This window comes from Homo sapiens, chromosome 15, assembly GCF_000001405.40.
Source record: "Homo sapiens chromosome 15, GRCh38.p14 Primary Assembly".
NCBI classification, from domain to species: Eukaryota; Metazoa; Chordata; class Mammalia; order Primates; family Hominidae; genus Homo; species Homo sapiens.
The window spans coordinates 21,404,630-21,431,317 of NC_000015.10; the positions used below are offsets into that span (position 1 = coordinate 21,404,630).

The 26,688-nt window shown below is 37.9% G+C and overlaps 1 protein-coding gene and 2 non-coding genes across 7 annotated transcripts in view; 1 reads left to right on the top strand and 2 right to left on the bottom strand.

The window, feature by feature from the left end:
- Positions 1–771: 771 nt before the first annotated feature.
- POTEB3 (POTE ankyrin domain family member B3) overlaps positions 772–26,688 on the bottom strand; it is a 35,099-nt gene continuing 9,182 nt past the window's right edge. The window contains exons 5-11 of one of the 5 annotated variants that reach the window (NM_207355.5): positions 25,635–25,772; positions 23,056–23,126; positions 17,491–17,561; positions 16,045–16,089; positions 14,835–15,001; positions 6,249–6,372; positions 772–4,566 (exon numbers count right to left, since the gene is read on the bottom strand). In NM_207355.5, coding sequence (NP_997238.2) covers positions 4,354–4,566; positions 6,249–6,372; positions 14,835–15,001; positions 16,045–16,089; positions 17,491–17,561; positions 23,056–23,126; positions 25,635–25,772 — 829 coding nt within the window. In that variant the 3' untranslated portion in view covers positions 772–4,353. Of the gene's footprint in view, positions 4,567–6,248; positions 6,373–14,834; positions 15,002–16,044; positions 16,090–17,490; positions 17,562–20,389; positions 20,661–21,398; positions 21,620–23,055; positions 23,127–25,634; positions 25,773–26,688 lie in introns of those variants that run through there. The other 4 variants (NR_110752.1, XM_011543797.3, XM_047432107.1 and 1 more) reach the window with 4 other exon arrangements.
- On the top strand, positions 1,756–1,830 carry MIR3118-3 (microRNA 3118-3). Its single transcript, NR_036063.2, has one exon. It is a non-coding gene; the product is annotated as a microRNA 3118-3 (primary transcript).
- Positions 24,250–24,356, bottom strand: LOC124900632 (U6 spliceosomal RNA). Its single transcript, XR_007064806.1, has one exon. It is a non-coding gene; the product is annotated as a U6 spliceosomal RNA (small nuclear RNA).

Here is a 26,688-nt window from a genome sequence, read left to right on the forward strand (position 1 = left end):
AACTCAAGAAAGGAGGTGCCTGCTCTCCATCATCACGGAAGCAGGAAAACTTGCCTTGTTGGAAATAAGTAAAACTTCAGAAAAGGAGTTGTATAGCAAAATCAACCTTAGATCTCAACCAAATTTTGGGAGATCAGGGATTCTCTGCAGGGGAGAAGCTCCCTAACCTCAGCACATTATCCTATTGGTTTGGGCAATAAAGATAGCCCAGGTTGGTATCAAGCAATAATGAGATTTATCAAAGGTCAGGACCACCTTTGTAATCTCCTTCTCTCTCTTTTTTTTTTTTTTTTTTTTTTTTTTTTTTTTTTTTTTTTTTTTTTTTGAGACGGAGTCTCACTGTCTTGCCTGGGCTGCAGTGCAGTGGCACGATCTTGGCTCACTGCAAGCTCCACTTCCCAGGTTCACACCATTCTCCTGCCTCAGCCTCCCAAGTAGCTGGGACTACAGGCACCCGCCACCATGCCCAGCTAATTTTTTGTATTTTTCGTAGAGACGGGGTTTCACCGTGTTAGCCAGGATGGTCTCGATCTCCTGACCTTGTGATCCATCTGTCTCAGCCTCCGAAAGTGCTGGGATTACAGGCGTGAACCACCGCGCCCAGCCCTCTGTCTTTTTTTTTTTTTTTTTAATCTTTATTGGTATAGTCTGCTTTGTCAGAAACTAGGAGTGCAACACCTGCTTTTTTCTATTTTCCATTTCCTTGAAATATTTTTCTCCATTCCTTTATTTTGAGCCTATGTAGGGCACTGCATGTGAGATGGGTTTCTTGAAGACGGCATACTCCAATGGGTCTTGGTTCTTTATCCAGCTTGCCCCCTGTGTCTTTCAATTGGAGCATTTAGCCCATTTCCATTTAAGGTTAGTAATGGTATGTGTGGATTTGATCCTCTCGTCATGCTGTCAGCTGGCTTTTTTGCAGACTTATGTATGTGGTTGGTTTTTAGCATCACTTGTCTGTGTACTTCAGTGTGTTTTTGTAGTGGCTGGTGGTGGTCTTTTCTTTCCATATTTAGTGCTTCCTTCAGGAGCTCTTGTAAGGTAGGTCTGGTGATAATGAATTCCCTCAGCATTTGCTTGCCTGAAAAGGATCTTGTTTCTCCTTCACTTATGATGCTTAATTTTGCTGGACATGAAATTCCGGGTTGAAATTTCTTTTCTTTAAGATGTTGAATATCTTTTCTGGCTTGTACAGTTTCAGTTGAGAGGTCTGCTAAGTCTGATGGAATTCCCTTTGCAGGTGATGTTGCCTTTCTCCCTAGCTGCCTTTAACACTTTTTCTTTCATTTTGACCGCAGAGAATCTGATGATTATGTGTCTTGGGGATGATCTTCTCATGGCATATCTTACTGAGGTTCTCTGGATTTCCTGAAGTTGAGTGTTGGCCTGTCTGGCTAGGTTGGGGACATTCTCATGAATGATATTCTGAAATGTGTTTTCCAAGTTGGTTCCATTCTCCTCATCTCTTTCAGGTACATTAATCAGTCATAGATTTAGTCGTTTATATAATCCCATATTTCTCGGATGTTTTGTTCATTCCCTTTCATTCTTTTTTCCCCCATTCTTGTTTGCCTGTTTTATTTCAGAAAGCCAGTTTCCAGATTCTGGGATTCTTTCCTCTTCTTGGTCTATTCTGTTGGATGGTCTTGCACATGAGATGGAGCTGGTCTGACCTCAGCCCTCCCTAGTCTGCTTGCCTCTCCCAGGACCCCAGCCTGGCCACATCTGCTTACAGGGCACTCTCAGGTGCCCACACATACTACAATAATTTTCATAATGCAATCACACACAATCACCGTGTGACTGCATTATGAAAATTCTTCTAGTGTGATTTACAGCTCTGTCAGGTCAGTTATTTTCTTCTTTATACTTGCTATTTTGTCTGTTAGTTCCTGCAATGTTTTACAATGATTTTTAGCTTCCTTGTATTGGATTACAACATACTTCTTTCACTCAGGGAACTTTGTTCCTACCCATATCCTGAACTCTGCTTGTATCATTTCAGACATCTCAGCCTCAGCCCAGTTCTGAACACTTGCTGGAGAGTTGATGCAGTCATTTGGAGAAAAGAAAGCATGCTGAATTTTTGAGTTTTCAGTGTTCTTGCACAGAGTCTTTTTCTCATCTTTATGGGCTTATCCACCTTCAATCTTTGAGGCTGCTGACCTTTGGACAGGGTATTTTTCCTTTATTATATCTGATGACCTTGAGGATTTGATTGTGGTGTAAGGTGGATTCAGCCAACAGGTTTTGTCTTTGGAGGATTTTAAGGGGCCAACATGCAGCTCCCAATTCTTGGACTGTGTGCTTTAACTCTGGGGAACTTGTATTGGGCCACAACTTTGTTCTCTGGCTCATCGAGGTTTGGAGTCCACCGCACTGAGGGGACCAAAGTGTGGCAGCTGTGGCAGAATGCTAGCAGATGCAAAAGTCCCTGCCTCCCTGTGGGCATTCACCTAGTGGTGGAGGCAAAACAGCTGGGGTGTGGGCCAGGGGGCCCCTGCTGACTGTGTGTGCTGTTGCACTGGAGGTAGTTCTGGTTTGGGGTGGGTGGCTGGCCAGTGAAGGTGCCTTCTCTGATCCCCCCCAAGCAACAGTGGTCACTCAGGGTATAAGAAGGTCCCTTTTCCTCTGCACAGCATTACCTCAAGGGTGAGATGCTAGCAGGGGTGGGGTTTTTGGTTCTGTGCCCACCATGGCTTCATCTTCAGTGGCAGTTGGTGTGGGTTGGGGTGTGTGCTGCATTCCCATATGCTGTTAGGGCAAGTACAACAAAACCCACCTGTGTAAACACACACAGCTAAGTGATGTAGGAAGTTTCCATATAAAGGGCTGCAGTATGGAGAGGTAATGTGCAGGCTGGTACGTGGCTGTAGAGGTCACCTTGCTGCAGCTCTCCACTGATCAGCCACGGTCTGCTTGTACAGAAGCTATGGTGTGGGCACCCAAAAGTGCCCTCTAAGCAGGTGTGGCCTGGCTGGGGTCCTGGGAGAGGCAAGCAGACTAAGGGGTGCTGAGGTCAGACCAGCCCCATCTCATGTGCAAGACTGCCCAGCAGAGATCAGGTCTCAGAGGAGAACTCTCTCAAAAGTGAATCCTCAGCACAGCACAACTGCTCTACACAAACGCGGCCAGACTTCTTTTTTAAGCAAGTCCCCCTTTTTAGGAAGAGAACTCTTAGACCTGATCTGTGCTGGGCAATCTTGCACGTGAGATGGGGCTGGTCTGACCTCAGCACTCCTTAAGTGCTGGGATAAAGTGTCTCATAAGAGCAAGTGGAGCCTAGAGACATAGATGTCCCTGCCCTCCAGGCTCCACATCAGCTGACTTGCTGCTCCACCACTTTCCTTGTCTCCTGGGGGCTACACCCCAGAGAGGTGTAAGTTAGGAGTTACTTAATGTAATCACCCCAGGATGGAGGGTCTGTGCTGTGGGCCCAAGCCAGGGTTCCTTGTCTGTTGATGAGCAGTAAGGGGTGTGTTGTACCCGTGGAAGATGGACTGACTTGTTCCTTGTGTCAACTGCAGCTTGTTGGAGGTGTCAATATGGCACTTAGGGTCTTTGCTCCCTTGACATTCTGAGGGTAGCAAGGGCAGTTCCACTGCAGAGGCAGTGGCAGAGAGGATTTCTGTTGCTCCTGGAAGCTCTGTCCAGGGAGTTGCTGAGTTGCTACTGGCTTGAAGGCTCAAGTGGGGGGCTGGCTGGAGACCCAGGCCAGGAAGACCTGCCCATCATGGCCCACCCCTCTCTCTGGGAACTCTGTCCCAGGAAGGTTTCAAATCTCCATTGGCCAGGGAACACTGGTGGGTGTAGCTGGAGGCCTCAGGTGGGAGATCCTGTCCAGTGACGAGGAACAGGATCAGGGGCCTGCTTACAGAAGCATTCTGGCCATGATTTGGTAAAGCAGCTGTGCTATGCCACAGGATCTCTTCTGTCCCTGGTGAGTTTGTACTCTCCAAAGCCCGCACGCTGGAATGACTAAGTTGCCCAAACAGGAAAGATGGTGGCCTGCCTCATCTTTTCTCTCAGAATTTATCCTGTGTGATGGAGCTTAATTTTTAGGTTGTTAATTTTACTGTCAGCGTTAGAGTTGTTCAGAAAGAATCTCACTGTTATCTTTTAGGTGAGATATATAAGAATTCATTTTCTCCTGTAAATAAACCTGTTGATGTTTGTTCTCTGGAAAGAAGTCCCTTTCAGCTATCTGACTTTGATCACAATCATGTAGAGCAGTAGTCAGTCTACAATGACATGATTGAATTTCCATTTCCAGTGTTTCCTAGCTGTGTCTTACATTCTCCAGTTCAGAACTGAGCATTCTCAGTTGTCAAAATCCTAAGCTGTCCACTGTACTTAAATACTGGTTTTCGTTAATGCTTCTTCATTCAGTTGTATAGCCTTTAGAAGTTTTTCTTTTACACTTTCAATTTCCTCCAAAATTTTATTTTCCCTTAGCTGGTTCTGATGTTTTGTTTCATCTAGTTCCAGTCTTAGCATGGCAATTTCTTCCCGCAACATGCTGTTTTCACGCAAGAGATCTTCTTCTTTCTTATGACTAAGAGAAAGCTAAGTAAACAAAGGGAACTTTTAGTTAGCACTCAATAGAATGACATATCATGATTTCTTCTAAAATCAAAGAATGACATTTATATTTGTATAATGAAATAATTCCCATAGTGGATATTTAACTGGAAAAAAGTTGGACAAAACTTCAAATCTAAAAGAGTGTAAATTCCAAAAAGTTGAAATATTTATCTAAAGACCATGAAAAATAAATCACTAGAGGATTTTTAAGAATTTCAGAATTGGGAAAGCCTTTCTCTGAATTACAAAAAACCCAGAGGCATAAAATAGAAGATTAATACATTTGGCTACATTTTTTAAATTGGGTTTACACTCTGATATCTAACCTACAAACCACACCATCATAAGAGCCTTAGCTATGCATATATTAGGACAGAAGCAATTCCTCAAAGTTCTTTAAGTTCCTTTTTCTGAGGAATGTTTTATCAATATACTGCTTTTCTAATATTTTTACAGTCAGTTATAAGAATTACATTTATTCATAACTGTTAAATCTAAGCGTTGTACCCTTCTACAATGTACACACCGGCATCTAAGCATTGCACTTCTACATACAACACTCAACTCATTTAAGATCACGATTCTTAAAAGGAGAGATCAAAAAATATATGCAGCCAGGACCAGTGGCTCACACCTGTAATCCCAGCACTTCAGGAGGCTGAGGCAGGAGAATCATGTGAACCTGGGAGGCAGAGGTTGCAGTGAACTGAGTTTGTGCCATTGCACTCCAGCGTGGGTGACAGTGCAAGACTCCATCTAGAATACACACACACACACACACACACACACATATATATATGCAACGTGCAAGATTTTTGCCAGGTCTTCTGATGCTACTGCTAGTGATCCTCCACAAAATCAGTTGCTTCTGTGGTGTAAATATATAAATACAAAAGAAGCCTTTTATTTCAAAATACAAATGATAAATAAGATATAACTTACAAGGCTTTTCTTAGAAATCATGAGATTATTTGCCATTGCAATAACTTTTCTTTCCTCTTCATAATGTTTGAAACATTATAGTAGTAAGTGTGAAATACGGGAAACGTACTGAACTATTCATCTGGGAACAAAATACTTATCAATAAATTATCACTAAATGTGTATCATGGCATGTCATTGTTTTCAAAGCTCTTTGCATTGAAATGAGAAACTACTCGGAGCAAACTGTTCCTCTCCTCAAAAGCAAGGATAATGACATCCACAATGTGGCCTCTGACCCAGCTGTACATTTCCTACTTTCCTATTAGTGAAAATAACAAACTGACTTCTCTATTAATATTTTAAAAAGAACTAATGTCCCAAAACTAGCAAATCTGTTGTTAGTAGCAAAACTTATTTTTGATATTGGAAAGATAATCAATTCTTATGAAAAATATCAAATGCTTTTCCTTTGGATTGAGGCCATTGTGAAGGTCACTACTCGACTGTTGCAGGCAAATGCAGTTGAATTAAGAACATGGCTTTATCCTATGTGTACATATATAGATATATGACCAAGGATATACAGGGGGTGTGTGTGTGTGTGTGTATATATACACACACACAGACACACACACACGTGTGTATATATATGATTTAAAAATCCTTTATACCTTCCAAAATAAAGCTTTTTAAAAATATACACACATATGAAAACATTTGATAATGACTAAAGAAAATACCTTAGAATTCATTTCCTTTTCAGCCACTTCTATCTGCTTTTGTTTATTAGTCAGAATCTCATCTTGTGATATTCCAGTGTTCTGTTCTTCAGAAAGTTGTTTCTGGGTATCATTTTGTTCGTCACTAGAAGAAATTTTAATTTTCATGAAATACTGGAGGTGTCCCTAAAATGATCTACAGGACAAGATGGCACCATCAGATGTCATTCACACAATGTATATCTGCACATTAATCCAAGACAAGGCAAAGGGGCCTCACATCTGTTAACCCTGCTCTCCCAGTCATGTTGGCACCAGGGACTAGTTTTGTGGAAGATAATTTTTCCATGGACCTGAGGTGGGGGATGGTTCCAGGATGATTCAAGCACATTACATACATTGTGCACTTCATTTCTATTATTACTAATATATAATGAAATAATTATATAACTCACCATCATGTAGAATCAGTGGGAGCCCTCAGCTTATTTTCCTGCAACTAGATGGTCTCATCTAGGGGTGACAGGAGATGGTGACAGATCATAAAGCATTAGATTCTCATCAGGAGTGAACAACCTAGATCCCATGCATGAGCAGCTTGCAATAGGGTTCAAGTCACACTCTTATGAGAATCTAATGTCACCGCTGATCTGACAGGAGGAGGAGCTCAGGTGGTAATGTGACAGAGAGTGGCTGTAAACAGATGAAGCTTCACTTGCTCATCTACCACTAACTTCTTGCTGTGTGGCCCAGGTCCTAACAGGCCAGGGACTGGTACTGGTCTGTGGCCTGGGGATTGGAAACCCCTGTGTTAACTCAAACTTTTTATGTTTATTTTTTGGAAACAGTTTCCACTTATATTCTTGATTCCTCTGTAATTTATAGACAAATTAGAAATTCCCTTTGGAACAAGACAGGGTCTAATATTGTGTTTTTAACATAGAACTTTGAATTAATTTTATCTGTGTATGAGAGAGAGATGTGAAATAAACTGATCATTAATCGCTTTCAATTTCACTTTTATTTCATGCTTATTAAGAAGAAAACTGGGAAGCCCTAGGCAGAGCAATTGGGCAAGAGAAATAAAGGGCATCCAAATTGGAAAAGAGAAAGTCAAACTCTCTCTTCACCAATGATATGATCTTATGCCTAGAAAACCCTACAGACTCCTACAAAACACTCCTAGATTTGATAAATGAATTTAGTAAAGTCTCAGAGGTTACAAAATATACAAATACCAATGAATAGTACCACTATACACCAACTACAACCAAGCTGAGAGTCATATCAAGAATCCAATCCTTTTTACAATGGCTGCAAAATAGTAAAATACCTAGGAATATACTTAATGAAGGAGGTGAGTGATCTATCAAAGGATAACTGGAAAACGCCACTGAAGAAAATCATAGATCATACAAATAAATGAACATACATTCTATGTTCCTGGACTGAAAGCATTGATATTGTGAAAATGCCATAGTGCCCAAAGTAGTCTACAGAGTCAATACAGTTTCTACCAAAGTACCAATGTCATTCTTCACAGAGTTATTTTAAAAAGCTGTCATTCATGTAGAACCACAAAAGAGCCTGAATAGCAACAGACATACCAAGAAAAAGGAACAAACATGTTGGCATCAAATTACCTGACTTCAACTCTAAGGCCACAGTAACAAACATCATGGTACTGGTATAAAAGTAGATACACAGATCAATGGAACAGAATAGACAACTCAGAAAAAAGGCCACTTACAACCAAATGATCTCTGAGAAAGGATACAAAAACATACACTGGAGAAAGTACACATTATTCAACAAATGGTGCTGGGAAAAAAAGATAGTCACATATAGAAGAATAAAATTGGATCTCTATCTCTCACCATGTAAAAAATTAATTCAAGATGGATTAATGGCCTAAACCTAAGACCAGAAGACATTAGCCTAGGCAAATAATTTATGATGAGGACCCTGAAAGCAAAAGCAACAAAAATAAAAATAAATAAATAAATAAATAAATAAATAAATAAAGACCTAATTAAACTAAAAAGCTTCAGCACAGCAAAAGAAATAATCATCAAAGTGAGCCAACCACCTATACAATGGGGAAAATATGGGCAAATTATGAATCTAACAAAGGATTAATGTCCATAACCTACCAGAAGCTCAAACAAATCAGCAGGAAAAATACAAACAATTCCATTAAAAAGTGGGCACATGACATGAATAGACATTTTTCAAAAGAAGATGTACAAATGGTGAACAAGAATATAAAAACATGCTAAATATTACTAATCATCAGGGAAATGTACAATAAAACAACAGTGAGATATCACCTCACTTCAGCCAGAATGGTCACTACTAAAATAAAAAAAACAGCAGATGTTGGTGTGGATGTGGTGAAAAAAGAAGATTTATACACTGCTGGTGGGGATACAAATTAGTACAAATCTATGGAAAACATTATGGAGAGTTCTGTTAAAGTAGATCTTACCATTCTATCCAGCATTCTCATTTCTGGATACCTACCCAAAATAAAAGAAATCATACTCTCAAAAAGACACCTATATACATATGTTTACTGCAGCACAATTCACATATGCAAAGATATGTTATCAGCCAGTGTCCATCAACTGATGAGTGGAATAAAGAAAATTATATATATATATATATATATATATATATATATATATATATATATATGTATGTATGTATGTATGTATACCTGAGACTGGGTAATTCATAAAGGAAAGAGGCTTAATTGATTCACAGTTACACATGGCTGGGAAGGCCTCAGGAAACTTACAATCATGGCAGAAGGTAAAGGGGAAGCAGGCAACTTCTTCAAAAGGTGGCAGGAGAGAGAGAAGTGAAAGGGAAAGAGCCCATTATAGAATTATCTGCTCTTGTGAGAACTCACTATCAAGAGAACAGCATGGAGGAAACCGACCCCATGATCCAATACCTCCCAGCTGGTCTTTCTCTCAACACCTGGGAATTACAATTTGACATGAGATTTGGGTGGAAACACAAAGCGAAACTATTGGGGGGGGGTGTATCCTTACTTTTAAAATATCAAAATGTCATTATTTATATTTCAAAAATAGCAATTTTTATTAGTAATGATTTTGTTTGAAAATAAAATGACCTGGTAAATTTTCTTCAATTTTAGCCTAGTATTTAGTCAAAATATAAAAAGCTGAATTTGCCAGCAGAAAACTGTAATTACTTTTAAATGAGGTAAAGATGTATAAGAATATCACTGTTATTGTACTGAGAAGAAAGTGAATGAGAAAAGGAATTTAAAAAGAGAGTATCACTACCATATACATACATGAACTGACAAAGAGATTAAAATCTCCTACTGGAGATTATGTTAGGACTTGAGCAAAAGCTTCTAAAAATACCAAAAACAGAAAGAAAATAATTAATTTTAAGGAATAAATTATACAGAGAAATATGTATTTTAAAAAAGGAAAACAGATCTTCCTGAGAGCTATTATTAACCAATTCATCTTGACCAAAATTTTAAAATGAAGTCTACAATTCTGGAATATAAAATACTTTCATTTTGAACATAGTTAATTGAAGGCAACTTTTATACAGAAAATTTTTGGTTAAAGTTGACTCTAACTTAGGAAAGAAATGACTTGTACCAATGGTAACAACAAGCCACCCAAAAGCCAGTTTGAAATCTAGTCAATCAATCAATGACCACTGCTCTTGCTCACCAACCAATATCAATGTGAGCAGCTTACTTCTGAAATACAGCCACGCAGCAGCACCTGCTCCACCAGAATAGACAGTGCCTGACCAGTATTCCTCTTACTATAGGAAGCAAAAAATTCCAACTCTGTATCTTTATTTCAAATACCAAAGGTTCATAATCCCTTGAAAAGAATTTGTAAGTCCATTAAATGTGCCACCCTAATTTTTTTTTAAATAAAATACTAGTGGCCAGGCGCAGTGGCTCATGCCTGTAATCCCAGCACTTTGAAAGGCCGAAGTGGGTGGATCACCTGAGGTACAGAGTTTGAGACCAGCCTGACCAACAGGGTGAAACCCCATCTCTATTAAAAATACAAATATTAGCCAGGCGTGGTGGCATGCCCCCGTAATCCCAGCTCCTTGGGCGGCTGAGGGAGGAGAAATGCATGAACCAGAAGGCGGAGGTTGCAGTGAACTGAGATCATACCACTGAACTCCAGCCTGGGGGATACAGCAAGACTCCATCTCAAAATAAAATAAAATACCAGTAAAGTTTGCAATTCCTCTGACTCAGTTTACCATAATTACAATTATGTTTACTAGTAAAAGAATAAATAGTGAATAACCACAATATTGGGCTTTTCTCTCTAAATAAAAAAATAATATAAAGAATGTAGCTTATTATAAAGAGCCAAAACAATTTTTAAAATGCATGTAATTACCGGGCAAAACTGTTAGAATGAACCATGTCAAACATTTTTAAAGTGAGAATTAATCAAACAATATATCCAGGATAAACTCCATTCACTCATTTAATAAGTATTTATTAGGTAGCTTCATCCAATATGCTAGGCCTTTTTCTAGGCAGTGAGGATATGGTAGTGAAAAATAAAAAACCCATTCATGAGAGTGAGAAAAACACACAATAACAACAGACAGATAAGGCAAAATATACAGTATGTTAGAGGAGAAAAACTAAAGCAGGAAAATGAAATGTTTATGTGTTTCATGGGGAGGGTGGTGGGAAAGTTGGGGTGGTCAGAAAAGTCCCTGCTGAGAAAGGGGATTTTTTTTTCTAATACAAAAAACCTTTTATTTGTATATCAAAGACTCTAAGAAATGACGACATAAGGTTAACGGCATTGATGTCAAGATACAAATGGGTTTGAAGTTAGAGATGTTAAATCACTTTGTTTCACTGAACCTTCCCTTCATTACGTTAGAGAGCATCCCTGGTAGGCACCCAATTGAACCTCAAGCATGACGCGTCTAGGTAGCACGCTGTTCTTCCTCAGAAAGTGGTTGTTCCTTAATGTCTTTCTTTTTACCCTTTTTCCTCTTCTTCTTAGAAAGGGGGTTTTAAATAAAGAACTGAAGGAATGGAAAGAGAAAGCTAGGAGGATAACTGGGGAAAAAGCATTCCAGACACAGGGAACTGCGAATCACAGAGGTGTGCCTGGCATCTTTAAGCACTAGGGGTAGATAAGGGACGGCAAGAATTCAGTTTGGCTGAAGCAGAGCAAGGGAGATAATTAGGAGGAACTTTGACACATACTCCGAGTGAAATGGGAGATAATCAGAAGGGCTGGGGCAGAGGAATGACACAATTTGACTTATGTTTTAAATACATCCACTGAGTTAAGAATTGATGAAAAGGGAAGTTTTTAAAAACCAGGACTATCAATTCCCAGTCTATGACACTCATCTAGACTGCAGATGAGGGTGGCTCAGATGTACAAGATATGACTGACTTCTGGACATATTCTTCAGGTAGACCTGACAAGATTTACTGAGAGATTAGATGTGAGGTGTCAGAGAGAGAGAGAGATGAGTCAAGAATGACACCGAGATATTTGGCAGAGCAACTGGAAGAGTTGCCCTTAACCAAAAATAGGAAAGACTACATGAGGTGCAGATTTCAGGAAGGACATCAGTAGCCCAATTTTGGATCTGACAAGTGTGTGATACCCAATAACTAACCAAATAGAGACGTCAAGTAGGCAGGCTGATATAGAAATCTGGAATTAAGGAGAAAGATCTGAGCTGGAGACATACATTCAGAAATCACTAGCATATACACAGTAGAAAAAGTCACGAGGGGCCAGGTGCAGTGGCTTACACCTGTAATCCCAACAGTTTGTGAGACCAAGGCAGACAGATCCCCTGAGGTCAGGAGTTTGAGACCAGGGTGGCCAACATGGGGAAATGCTGTGTCTACTAAAAATACAAAAATCAGCTGGGCACGGTGGCATGCACCTGTAATGCCAGCTACTCAGGAGGCCGAAGCAGGAGAATTGCTTGAACCCAGGAGGCAGAGGTTGTAGTGAGCCGAGATCACACCACTGAACTCCAGCCTGGGAGACAGAGTGAAACTCTGTCTCCAAAAAAGAAAAAGAAAAAGTCACAAGAAAGAAGACTGAGGAGTGAGCCCTGGGAAACAACAATGTCCAAAAGGAGAAAGATGAGGAGGAGCAAGCAAAACAGACCATGATGAATGGACTAGAAAGGCAGGAGGAAAAGCCTGAGGGAGTGAGGTCCTGAAAGCCAGTGAAGATGCCGTTAGGGAGGAGATGCCCTCCATTGGCTCAAATATTGCTGACAGATTAAATAAAATGAGGTGGAAGAAAAGTGCCTAGATTTATTACAGAAAAAAATTAGTGATAATCTTGAGGAAAAACAATGCTGGAGGACTACTGAAATTGAAGACTTACTGGCATGAGATCAAGAGTGAATGAAAAGAAAATTTGAGTTCGTGAGTGTAGACAGTTCTTTTAAGGACATCATACTTAGGAGTCATGGCTGAGAATGTTGTAATTTTCTTCCACAGTCATGGAAAAGTAATAGACAAATAGTTTCAAATTTTACATAAAAGGTGTAGTTTTCAAATTTTATATAACAATTATATATTTTAAAGCTTATAAAAATTATACACATGTGGCATTAAAAATGCCAGACCAAGGTGTTAAATCTTAAAACTATAGAACTAAAAGTTGCCTTGACCATTTCTAGATTACATAAGCCAATTATCATTTTGTTCATGCTTATACATAAAGACCAAGAAAAACTAAAAGTTTCAAGGAGAGTATTTCTTGCTTGATAAAAATCAGCCAATTCTAGGACAGTTGATGCTCATCGAATATACAAAGTAATTGATCACCATAAAATACTGAATTCTATTAACAGGAATAAAGTGGCAGAAATGCAGAAAATAATCTTATTTTACAAATGAAATTTTTAAAATTATATGAAGTCACTGTGGAAAAATATGGTGAGGTGAATACCAAAATATATCCTTTTCTCAAAGGAAAGATACTGTCACACATGCTGGGCACTTTTATAAATAAGTGTTACTGCATTAGCAGCACCTTCCTTTTAGCACAAGGGTCAGCAAATTAGCACCTGTGGGCCAAATCCAGGCCACTGACTGTTTTTGTAAGTAAAGAATCTTGGAACGCAGCCATGCTTATTCACTTTACAGTCCATAGAGTCAATTAGCTGGGTGTGATGTTGCACACTTGGGGTCCCAGCTAATAGAGAGGCTGAGGTGGGAGGAGGATCACTAGAGCCCAGAAAGTCAAGGCTGCAGTGAGCTGTGATCACACAATTGCACTCCAGCCTGGGCAACAGAGACCCTGTCTCAAAAAAAATAAATATATATAGTCCACAAAGCCTAAAATATTTACTAAATGGCTCTTTGCAGAAAAAGCTGGCCAGCTCCTGGTTTAGCAGATGAAAGATACTTTGATATATTTTAATAAAAGTTTTACCCAATATACTCAAATGTTTATATTAAATATAGGTCCCCATGTACAATCCCTTGGCAATATTCAGATTGAAGGTCCAATATTTTGGCACTCAGGCACTGACAACAAAAATTTAATAACTACCAATCTCGTTGCTAACAAGGTACAGTGTCAATGTAGCGTGTAGCTTCCATTTGCAACACAGCAGATATTACAAGAATTCTAACAAAATTATCTTAAGATGTGTTACCAAACTAAATGCTTTAAATACATTTTAATTGTGAAATAATCAGTATACTCTAGATCTAACCTCATTTGTAAAAAATGTTTGCATACCGTATTATTTTCTGGGTATGAAAATTGAGCCATTTCCTATTGGTAAGGATTTACTTTTGATAATGATAAATTCCTATTGATAAGGATCCATCTTTTTGATATAATAACGCTGTAAGAAATGTCCTTATACATAAGTATATATGTGACAAATCTATACAAATATCCTTAACATACATATATATACTTACTATGTTATATATGTGTGTGTGCAAATATGCTAATAAATTAATGTTCAAAATATATTTACCAACAGTGTATGAATTGTCTTTTTCAATGAGACCGTTTCCTTTGCAGCAACACACATGGAGCTGGAGGCCATTATCCTAAGCAAACTAATGCAGGAACAGAAAATCAAATGCCACATATTCTTACTCATTTGTGGGAACTAAACAATGAAAACTCATGGACACAAAGAGGAGAATAACAGACACCAGGGTCTACTTGAGGGTGGAGTGTGGCAGGAGGGAGATGACCAAAAAACTACCTCTCGAGTATTTTGCTTATTATGTGGCTGATGAAGTAATCTGTAGTCCAAACCTCCATGACACAGTTTACCTATATAATAAACCTACACATGAACTTCTGAAGCTAAAATAAAAGTTCATTAAAAAGAAAAGGAAATGCCTTTTCCCTCACATTTGCCAATGCCGGTTATTTTTCAAATAAATTAATGACTGGAAAAAACGGTAACTCATTGTTTACTGATTTTCATTTTTCTGATTAACAGGCAAGGCTGAATATTCTAGTAAAAGTATAAAATTTGTTCATCATGAAAGCCCAAATTAGGATTAGTTTGACAGCATATAGTTATCTCCTATAGGCTTACCTGTGATACTCTTCATTCTCAGTGTCAGGAAATTGCTGATTTTCAGGTTTTCTGCTCTTCCTTTGTGGAATTAATCCATCATCACCATTGCCAGCACTGGCACCATTAGTCAGGTTTTCTGGTAATCCCACAGGATTACTTCCATGCTTCTTTATTTCTTCTTCAACCTTGAGTGGAAGTTTGATATTAAGGATGGTTATCACTTTATTGAATAAAAATAACCTTTTTAATTGATTTTATCAATTGACTCAGTTTGCCATTATTTTAGTCATTAAAAATATTTCACACTTAAATTTGATCATATATACAGAACTATAACCGTATAATTTTAAGATGTAATTATCATGTCATTAGTATATCACTGAAATTTTTGTAGTTTGCTTGATTCCAGCTGTTTGACTGAATAAAACAGAATTTTCCAAAATTCAAAAAGGGCCCTCCTTCATTTTGTGCTTTTATTCCCAAAAACTCTTCAGAATCTTATATATGAATTTACCCCATTTGACTCGTGGGAACACAAAAATAAAACGACATAGACACAAAATGTGTCTTCTGTCTTTACCACCTAGATTTTACATTAAACACTCAGATGTAGAGGATGAGACACTGGGGGGCTTCAGGAATAGAAAGGAAGATGGCCCTTTTCTGCACTAAGATATTCTCCTCTCCCACTGCCTTTGATCGTTCTTTTTTCATTTGGTTCCTGGATATCAAAAACATGATGGTGCTCACTGAAACATGAAAACCAAAGTTTGCCACAACACAAGGAGCAGAGTGAAACTGCTGAGGTGCAAGCATGGAATTCCAGAAAATTAGATGCTCCCCAAATTTCACATTCAATAGCTATACAATTTTCCAGCTGGAAATTACAAAGAATAAGTAATTATCTTCTTTAGCCACATTATCTAGTGATAATCAGACTAAAACCAAGAAAGATAAAAGGATTGGTCCAAATCTCCTAAAGAGGCATTACCTAGCATTTTATGGCACCATTCAGGATTGTTCCATAATAATGAAAGAATCTCTCTAGGGTTTGTATCTCTTGAAAACTCAATGTACAGAATTCTTTCTGAGTTAAATATTAAATTTTTCACTGGTGATTTATGCTACTTACATGATAGGATCATGTATGCGTACACTTACTACACTTTGTTAAACAGCATAACATAAAAATCTAATTCCACAGAAACATTTGAACATAAAGGTATACCTCTCTATCACAGTCCTTATTTATTTCTGGTTCTTGAGACATTTTCTGCAGATGCAAAAATAGAAGGTTAATTTGCTTGTTGTATTTCCGTGTATGTCTCCTCTTTTGGAATGCATGTTAAAATAATTTTATTCTTAAGTAATCAAGTATGGACATGAAAAATTAGAAAATAAAATAAAATTTAACTTAAAATAATTAAATAAATAAATAATTAAAATTAAGAATTAACTTTTTAATCTATGTTTAGCTACTGCCACATCATTGGCTTCTGACTAACATGGGAAAATAATTCACCTTAGACAAAGGGAGAATAAAAACATGAACCAGCAAACTTAACTTTGTCACCATTTGTTTGGACTAAACTTAATTTGTTATGTGTTAAATCTACCAAAAATGAATTAGCAGATGATTTGTAGTGTTCCAAGGGCTTCCTCACTTGAAAAGAGTATATCTCATGAAACCCTAACTAGTGAGCCCCTATAGTGCACTGAAGTGCTTTTTAAAAAGATTCCTAATTGGATTGTAGGCACGCTTTAAATTATTAGGAGCTGAAATCAACACCAAAGAGGAAGAAATGCAAATTCTTAAATTTTAATTGAAATTATATGCTGTAATATGATAGTGTTATGTATCTAGATGATCTGCTTAAGTCCAGTTCTAATATATTCTAAGGTGTACTAATTACAGTGGATAAAAATTTTTTAATAATCTGTACTGATTTTCTGCAACTGAAATAAGGTAGAAGGTTATTGTGTTTGTGCACTAACACCAAATGTCCCATTCTGCAAGATATGATTCTTGTAATAGGCAGTTGGGTTGCTTTTATGACCTGGTTCCCTCCCTGAACAGAAATGCTGAGGTCAGTGAGAGACCACAAGGCAGAATATGTCTTTAACCTTGGTATCTGTGACTGACAATATAAAACTGCAGATTTTCAATCACTGGCCGTGATTATTCTTTAACCATGAATCCAGCTCAGGGACCTTCAGTGTTACATTGTTCACAGTTCTATTGCTTAATAATATAATCCAATAATTGATGGTACTTTATCATGTTAGGGTGTTGTAAAAATAAAAGAACAAACAAAGGTCTGGAATATGTTTTTGCCTCTATTCCAAAAGGAAAGATTAGCTATAAGCTAATCAAAAAGGCAGATAAGAATATTTTAAATAAGAATACCATAAAATAAGAGTATTTTAAATTTTATAGTGGTTACGTTTTTAAGCTAAATATCAAATGTCAAGTTAGAATTTATTAATTCTTCTGTTAATGAGATTGCTGAATTTATTAAAATAAATTTTAAGAATCTATTAAAAAATTCTTAAAAAAAGAATCTATTGATTCTTAAAACCTAGTCTGAAAGGTAATTTCATTTGGACTATCTAATATTATTCAAGCAAAGAAAACAACATTAAATCAAAAATTTAAACTTAAAATTTTCCATGCCTCTGGCTGGCTATTTTCACTGACTTTAAGCCTTTGTGACTCTTCCTCTGATGTCAGCTTTAAGTCTTGTTCTGTTGAGAAATCCATATATTCAGTTAAAATGAACCACTTAGAACAGTTAAAAACTATTGCCTTTATAAAAATAGATTGAAGACAACATTTTATTTTATTTCATAAACTGAGTGTTTAGTCTTTCATGAAATAGTTACTTAGGAAATAATTCTCCAAAACTTCAACAAACCACTTGGGGAGACACCTGATGTGATTCACTCACAAATTCATCCACCCAACATAAATGAACAAAACCACCAGAAACACAACTTTAAAATACAGTAGAAACATATAAGGTAACTCAGTATGTTGTTCACTTCCTAATAGTGAAGCAGTAAATGTAAAGAAAAGGAAATTTAGTTTTAAAGAGAAACAAGTTTTCCTGCACTTAGCTAGTCTGACTCTAAGGATAGTAACAAGCAGGCCCAGGAAAGGTCATGGTGACCCTGTCTGAGAAGCCAGAGCCCACAGGTATGGGCTCCAGACATCCCAGAGCAAGGTTAAGAAAACAAATTCCTTTACCATCTCCCCTCCCCCTCAGCATTTATTCATAGCTATTTTTACAAATGCATATATTTTGCAAATTCTTGTTTTCCCTCAATGCAGCTGCAAGGTCGCAAGCTATGCAGTGGTTGCAAAACTGTCACTATATGATTAACTGCCTTTGTTCTGCTTCTATAAGTTTGCCTATATAAGCCAAGCCCTGTCTTTGTTCAGGGCTCAGCTTTTTGATGCAAATCCGCTGAGCTGGTGTGCACCTAAACAAAATCCTCTTGTTTGACCCACTGGGTCTCTCCTGCCTCCTGTTTTCTGCAAAAATAGTACCTTACAAACGATTTCCAAAATTACTACTGACACCTTTATTAGTGTACAATGTCTTCTTAACATCTAAAATGTTTCCATCCACTATTATGACAAATTTATTTTCATTTTTCTTTTTTTTTTGTTTTAGCTGGGGTCTTGCTCTGTCACCAGGCTGGAGTGCAGTGGCACAATCTCAGCTCACTGCAACCTCTGACTCCCTGGTTCAAATGATTCTCCTGTCTCAGTCTCCTGAGAAGCTGTGATTACAGGCACACACCATCATGCCCAGCTAATTTTTGTATTTTTAGTAGAGATGGGGTTTCACCATTGGCCAGGATGGTCTTGATCTTTTGACCTTGTGATCCACCTGCTCCAGCCTCCCAAAATGCTGCAATTACAGGTGTGAGCCACCACACCCAGCCTTGTTTTCATCTTTTAAAACAATGCTATGGGAAGTCTTCCTTGATTCTGCAGATCTTTCCCCAGATAAACAGGTAACTCCTTCCTTGAGGTTGCCTTAGGACCTCACTGATTTTTCTACTGCACCTTTACCACCTGAACTGTACACTATTCCTCCACATGTCTGTCCCCTCTGCTCCAAGACTGCAGAGGACAGTCTTGCACATCATCTTTGTAAAAACAGTCTTTATTTTACTCAGAAATTTCTTATTGAGTCCTGCTACATACATGCTAGGTGTTAGGGTTTAAAAAGAATGAAAATAAAGCCTGTCAGGGATGGCTTTTCTAGAACACCTGCCCAAGCAGAGACTTAAATATTGAGGCTAGCTAGATTAAAAGTGGTAGAGGGCAAGAAAGGGTGACAGCATGCCACACAGCAGCAAGAGCAGGAGCGAGGCCTGAAAGAGTGAAAGTATTTGCCTGCAATAGAAGGAGGAGTGAGTAGGGCATTAAGAGCCACTCAGTAATGCCAGAGAAAGGGCACACAGGGAAAAGGGCTAAAGATGTAGAATAGGGCAGAAGTCAGATTATGAAAGCCTTATGTGTACCTTTAAGATGCTTAGACATTAACGTTCAAGAGTGGTCCCTGGTCCTATCTGTATTAAGATGTAGATCATTTTAATGCCAAAACCAATATTCCTAGTGAGCCATTATTCATTAAGACAAGGTGACAGCTAGCTCATGTGGACACAGCTGAGATGATACTATGTAGCAAATTCCCAATAATTCTCATGAACACTTGGAAAGTCAATTCTATAATAAGTCATAGAAATTATAATAAATCACTTAATATTTGTTTGGGAAGGTGCTTTATAAAGTTATAGTGTATATGAATATAACTAATAGTTGTGAATTCAGAGCTGTGAGAATAAAGCAAAAAAATCACACTGTGTTTGAGTCAGCAATCTTTAGATTTCTATCTAGTCTTCCTACCCAGTCCATAAATTCTAAGTATAATCCTAGTACTCGCTCTCAAGTTTAAGTTAAATGCTAGCCTATACAAAAAATACTCTTTCTCTTACTTCTTTTTTGTTATTTATATGTTGCTTTGTTTAAAGGAAGAACACAAAAATGCCCTGCTAAAGGGATTCTGTTTGGCTGCAGGCTGCAAGAGGGGAAAAACACAAAGCACATTTTGCAGAAAATGATTTTTTAGAAGTCAGAACTATGACATGAAGTCAAGCAGGGCACTCTAGGACTGACTTTGCTGTGCTTCCTTAATATGCTCCTTGCTCTCTTTCTTTTCTGGAAGCTGTGACTCACACAGGTCATGGAGAAAATTTCGTACTCCTTCCTCATGCCCAGCTTAAATACTAGTGTACAACGTGGAAACCTGTAAATTATCTGACATTTCTCTCTGTCCTCCAAACCTTTCTCATTCAATTATCACTAAATCATATTGACTATACCTCTCTTCTGCCTCTGCTTTATATTACCACTTCCACTGAGAACATAAACATTTACAAAATGGCTTTTATTACAAAAAAGCCTTCCAACTATTAATGTTATTTCTCACATGAAAAAAATTAAGCAAAACAAATGAAAAAAGCATAACACCAAAAAAAGGCCAACACATTAAAATGAGTAATGGGGATTCCAAACTTTATTTCACCATGGGCAGGTGAAAACCTTAGAATACATTGATACTAGTCCAAGGATGTGTGACATGGAAACTATAGATGACTACTGCAAAAGCTTCCTTTGTCTCCTGGTTTCTTTACATGGTTATCTTCCATCAATCCCAGCAAACTATAGGCCACAGGACAAATCCAATCTGCCTTTTGGCTTTGTAAATAAAGTTTTATAGGAGCTCAGTCATGCCTGTTTGCTTACATATAATCATGGTGGCTTTCACACTACAACAACAGACAACAGCCTGGTTAAGTAGATATGACAGAGACCACATAGTCTAAAATATTTCCCACCTGGTCCTTTACAGAAAAAGCTTGCTAACCCATTTTACACCATAAGCAGAATATGCCTTAATATTCAAATTTAATCTTGTAACTCCCCTGCTCAAATTTCTCCAATGAGCCCCTGCAGCACACATTGTTGGCTCCTATCAATAGCCATTCCTTATTCTTTCTTGCAGAAGAAACACAAGTCTATTGGGATATTTATTATCCCAATCCCCCTCCTCAGCCTCAGAAAGAGAAATGTTTATTCTAAGCTAATCATGTATTTGCCATCCCATTGCCTGGTTTGGGAATGAGCATGTGGTGTGACCCAGCCAATGAAATGTTACAGGAAGCCCCTTGCATGCTTCTAAGTTTTCTCCCTGTTTAAAAGACACATGTGAAGAAAAGCAGCCCTTGAAATGTTGTGTTGTGAGAACAAGATGTTTGGAGCTGCTGCGGATTAGCCAACCATGAAAGGAAACATGAAGAAAACACTGCCAACAGCACAGCTGAAAGAGGGACAAATGGGATCCTAGGATATCACTGAACAACCAAAACAACTCTGGTTCCTACTGTTTTAGCCACTGCTCATCTAGTATTTACAGTCCAAAGCATTCTACCTGGTAAATTTCCCATGGCCCACAGGGTAAGACCTACTCATTTCTATAGTATTAAAAAAGTCTATCATAAACTTGCCTTAGCTAAGTATTCACCTCATTCCCAAACTCTGGTGTCTCACACTTTTGGTACTAGCAAAAGTGAACTGCTCAGAAACCCTGCAAAGTTCACTCGGCATCCTGTCTTTTGCAGTTGTTGCTCTTCCTGCCAAACAGGCAATCTCATCAGATGTTCTTCTGGCAAACACACAAACTTGTTGCATGTTCCTTCTGCCAAAAATTATTCTTCTGCTTCTTTACCTAGAAAAATTCTTCTCACTCTGCATGCTTACTTTGAATCATACCTACTTTTTTTCAAAACTTTCATTCCTCATCACGTATGTCTGGCACATAATTAATACATAATAAATCATAATTATAAGCTTCCAGTTGGCATCTAGCACACAGTAAGCACTGAATAAAGTAGTAAAATAATAAAAGTGACAATGATAATAACAAGCTCCTGTCTGTATTTTTAATTGTGTGTGTTCTGTAGCATTAGAAAAATGATTAGTATCTAAAAGACATTTGATAGTTATTTGTTAAGTGGACAAGTGAAAACATAGAAATGTTTTCTTTGTAAATTCTGTTGAAAAAGCACAGAAATGAAATAGAGACACCTCTATTATGAGCACCTTAAAGATCAAAACTACATCTATTCCATCTTTGTCTTCTGCAACTTATAAAACCTAACTTACAGAAGCTTTTTGATAAATAGATGGCTAAATTAAAGGTGTCCTCATCCAGTTTGGATTATACAATGTATTAGGTGTCCACAACCAGGTGGCATACTAGTATTTTTGTTAATGTGAAGCATTTTTCTACTTTTATTATAATCTGCTGAGCCTAGAGTTGGGCAATTTGTATATTTATTATGACAATCTTTTGGTAAATGGTAGCAGAGCATCTTGTTCTAACAAAATTACTGTTATCAAGACAATTGACCAGCAGGTAGAGAACACATCTTGTTCCAACAAAGTAAATGTATCTCTTTCCAACTTCAAATGAGGAGGAATGAAGTCAGTAAGAGTGAGACCTTGTTGGGACAAGGATATGTAACATGACTTGTGCTTTGGCGTTCTTTTGTGATCAAAAATTCCTTACTTTTATTTTTTTATCTACGGTAGGACCACCCAGAGCAGGGGTCCACAACTCCCAGGTCACAGACTGGTACCAGTCCATGGACTATTATGAACCACACCACACAGGAGGAGGTGAGCAGCAGGCAAACCAGGGAAGCTTCACCTGTACTTACAGCCACACCCCATGGCTCATATTACCGCCTGAACTCTGCCTCCAGTCAGATCAGTGATAGCACTAGATACTCATTGGAGCATGAACCCTATTGTGAACTGCTCATCTGAGGGATCTAGGTTGTGTGCTTCATATGAGAAACTAATGCCTGATGATCTGTCACTGTCTCACTTTGCCCCCAGATGAGACCATCTAGTTGCAGAAAAATAAGCTCAGAGTTTCCACGGATTCTACATTATGGTAAGTTGTATAATTATTTCATTATATATTACAATGTAATAATAATATAAAGTAGCACAATAAATGAAACATGGCTGAATAATCCTGAAACCATCCCCACCTTCCCCCAGCCCATGGAAAGACTGTCTTCCACAAAACCGGTCCCTGATGCCAAAAACATTGTGGACAACTGACCTAAAGTAATTCATTATCACAAGTCTTACCTGGATTGCTGTTTTCAGAAGAGATTTTTAGCATCTGTTTTTCTTTATAGTCAGAAAGTAATTCACAAATTCTATGTATAAAAATGTAATAAACCAAATTACTATTTTAATACTGATATAAAAAATACTTACCAAATGTAAGATTCTTAGAGTATTTCAAACAATATCATAATATCAGAATTTAACAGTATTATCCCATACACTTATGAGTACATTCTACAAACTTTTCTTTAAGCTTCTAATTAAAGAAGAAAAAAAATTAGGTGAAATGCTCATAAATCAAGGGCACTGTGACCCAGTAAATCAGCAGGCATTAGCATGACATAATAGAAAGTGTCCCAACTCTGCATAAGTCCTAGCTCCATAATGAACAGCTATTTGTTCTTGGACAACTTTCTTCTCTTAGGCTCAATGTCTTCTTCTACAAAGTGAGGACTTTGCTGCCTTATTTCACTAGGTTGTTATAAAGATTTAACAAGGTAACATTTTTTAAATGCTCAGAGAAATAGTAAAGCAATGGAATAATCTGTTCCTAAACTTTATGACTAAAATTATCTTGGAATCCCAAATAAAACCCCATGTGTATTTTGTTCATAGGTTCTAATATGCAAATGCTGTAGTTTTCAGGAAATGTTATTAAGTCCTAATTTTGCTTCTTAGTTGTCCTACTCCTTATGGCTTATCATTCAGGGCATCTCAACTGTGTCATAGTTTGTAACTAAATTTTTTCATAAATCTCTCATTAAAGTAGATAATGTGATTGTCCACTATTACGGAGTTGACCAATTTGTTGTGCTAAGGGCAGAAAAACCAATGGATGTTAAGACCTGGCTTGGAGCAATGATCCTTCTCTACAGACTCAAACTCTGAGCCAGCAGATGTTTGTTAGGATAATGCTTTATATTGATGTTCAATTCCAGCTGACATGGGAGACCAAAACTCTACTTTTATTTTTTTTCAGTTTTCATGAAGAAGCTGCAAATTGACATTCTCTAATTTTTGACGTACATACTTATAATATATTTTGCACTGAACACATTATTCAGCTCTAAATCATCTCACAGACCATCTTCCATGACTATTTTTGCAGCACAAATCACATTTCGATATTTTGGTGGCACCCATTTTGCTTTGATTCACACTGTTTCCTTAGAGCTAGCCAGCAAATAGTGAAATGATCTTCCAGTGACTGCACAAAATATGGAATGCTTCAAAGAGTTGTGCTGCCTCCTTATGCAGAAGCCGTGCTAACTTTCTCTGTATTGTTCCAATTTTAGGATATGTGCCGCCAAAGCAGGCACAAAGCCCTACTTTTACACATGATTTGTGATGAGTCATGGGCAAGGCTTGGCTCTTGTCCATGACTCATCACTACTTACTTAACCCACGTGAGATTCTGAGAATTCTCTTCAATGGCTTCCTGTGAGGTACAATTTGAAAATATTTTAAAATCTTGAGCTAGAGATGGAAGTAGCTTGGACGATTTTCATTATCATGTAAATCAGATCACTCAAGGGGCCAACCACAGCTGGGAGCCACTGCTTGGGGAAGGCTCATATGGGACTTTCTACTGCCTAAGGTTCTACACAGGATATAAAGGTGCCTCACTGTGTAGATCTGGTAGCAAAGAAGAAGAAACAAACACTGATCTCTTTCTGCCACATTATTTGAACCCCTCTGACCCTTTATAACAAGCCCACCTCATATCTGCTAGAGAAAAGACCAACAACGGCCTGAAAGGATCTCTTACCATGAAGGTCTCAGCTAATTCTTAGCTAAGATGTGGGTTCCACATTAGGTTCTGAATACAGGAGGAAGGGTCAATTTGCTCACTTTGTGTGCGGATAAAGTCAGGATGCCCAGCGGCCAGAGCAGGGTGCTGGTGCTTTGGGAACAATGGCTGAGCATATAAGCATAGGTAAGGGAACTAAAAAATGTTGTAACTTCAAAGTCACTGTGTGAATCCCCATGAAGACTTGAGGGATCTGAATCAGTAAGGGCACCTTGGTGTCAAAGGTCAACAATTACCAGGCAGCAGAAGCAGTTTGAGTGGCAACAATGCAGCAACAGAAACAATGGAAACAACAGAATGATTGGAATGTCCTTTTTTCTCTCCTCCTTCTGACTTGATAAAAGGGACTGTCTTCCTTGGATTTAGTGAACCCCTTTGGTTCTTGAAAAATTCAAGGAGTATGTAGGAGACAGTCCCCAGAAGACAGTACAAGGCTTTCTGCTAAACTGGACATTTCAAGACCCAAATAACTAATCAGAAAAATCAAAGATGTGATACTCTTTTTTATGCCATGCATAGGTGTTATACTTGGATGAAATGAACAATATTGGGATCTCTAAGGATAAAGGTCTTAAAAGTCCTGAGGTAAAGAATCCTGCACCCATTGGTACTTCTAACTTGTCTTGCTTTTTGTCTGATTTCTGGCTGATGCAGGGGACTAACTCACTGCCACTCTAAAACTACCTGAACCAAACTATGACATCTCACCTGATATGTAAGATGCAATTGTTATAATTATTTTAAACCTCAATTTAGCATTAACTAGCCTTTTCATGTAAACACTTACACATGATGATGACTAGAAACAGCATACTCTCTGGCCGTCTGTCCAGATAGATCTTGAGAAGATACATCAACATTTTGCTCAAGTAGAAGATTGACTATACTTGCTGATCCACAACATACAGCAAGTATGAGGGCAGTTCTAAAATTACAGAGATAATTTCTCCTTTAGAAACTGTAATAAAGTTATTTTAAAAGCTAATTTGATATACTTTACCAATTTGACATCTTGCCTGTCCATGCAGAATCAAACATTTACATGCGCTAAAAGACATAAGCATCTTGGGTGCTCAAGAGTTCATCTTTGTAAAATACCACCAAGGTTAAAAGGAAGGGACAAAAAGGAAACCTCTTATCTCAGTGGGGTATTGCATAGCAGAAGCTACTAATTTAAAGTCCTTTGATGGGCAAGAAACAATGCTAGGGCCACTTATCTGAAGTGGACAAAGATTTAAGTGAAGATTTTGTCACAGCTTCCCTAGACTGATATGCTGTGATAGAAAATTAGCTAGGGGCTAAGATAAATAAGAGCTCTCTGCATGCTGAAAGCAGTAATATTAATAATAATGGTAAGAATAGTAGTCACAGGAGTTTCAGTTAATGATGCCAATAAGCATGTGCTACGCACTGAATTAAATGCCACATGTATCTTTCTTGCTTATGCACAGCCAACTTTGAAGGATATATTCTCCTACTTTTCACATATGACAACATATTGGGTGGTAAATCACGTTCCCAATGTCACACACGTAGCAAGTAAGAAAGTTAGGAATTAAACCCAGTCTTGTGTGAATCCAAAGCGTAGCTCTTTTCTCTTTGTCACCCACCTACAGCTTGCCTTCATTAAAGGAAAAGTGTATCCACTTAAAACTATCTTCACTCCCTCTCTCCATACCAACTAAAAATAAAAACATCAAAATACACTGGAAATAAAAAAGGAAAAAAGCTGTTGAACCCACAGTATGTGGGAATAGCAATTAATTGTCATGTAGGGATAAGCTAACATTAATATTCTTCAAAGAAAGCAACTTAAAGCAGAGTCATTGAAAAGACAAAAG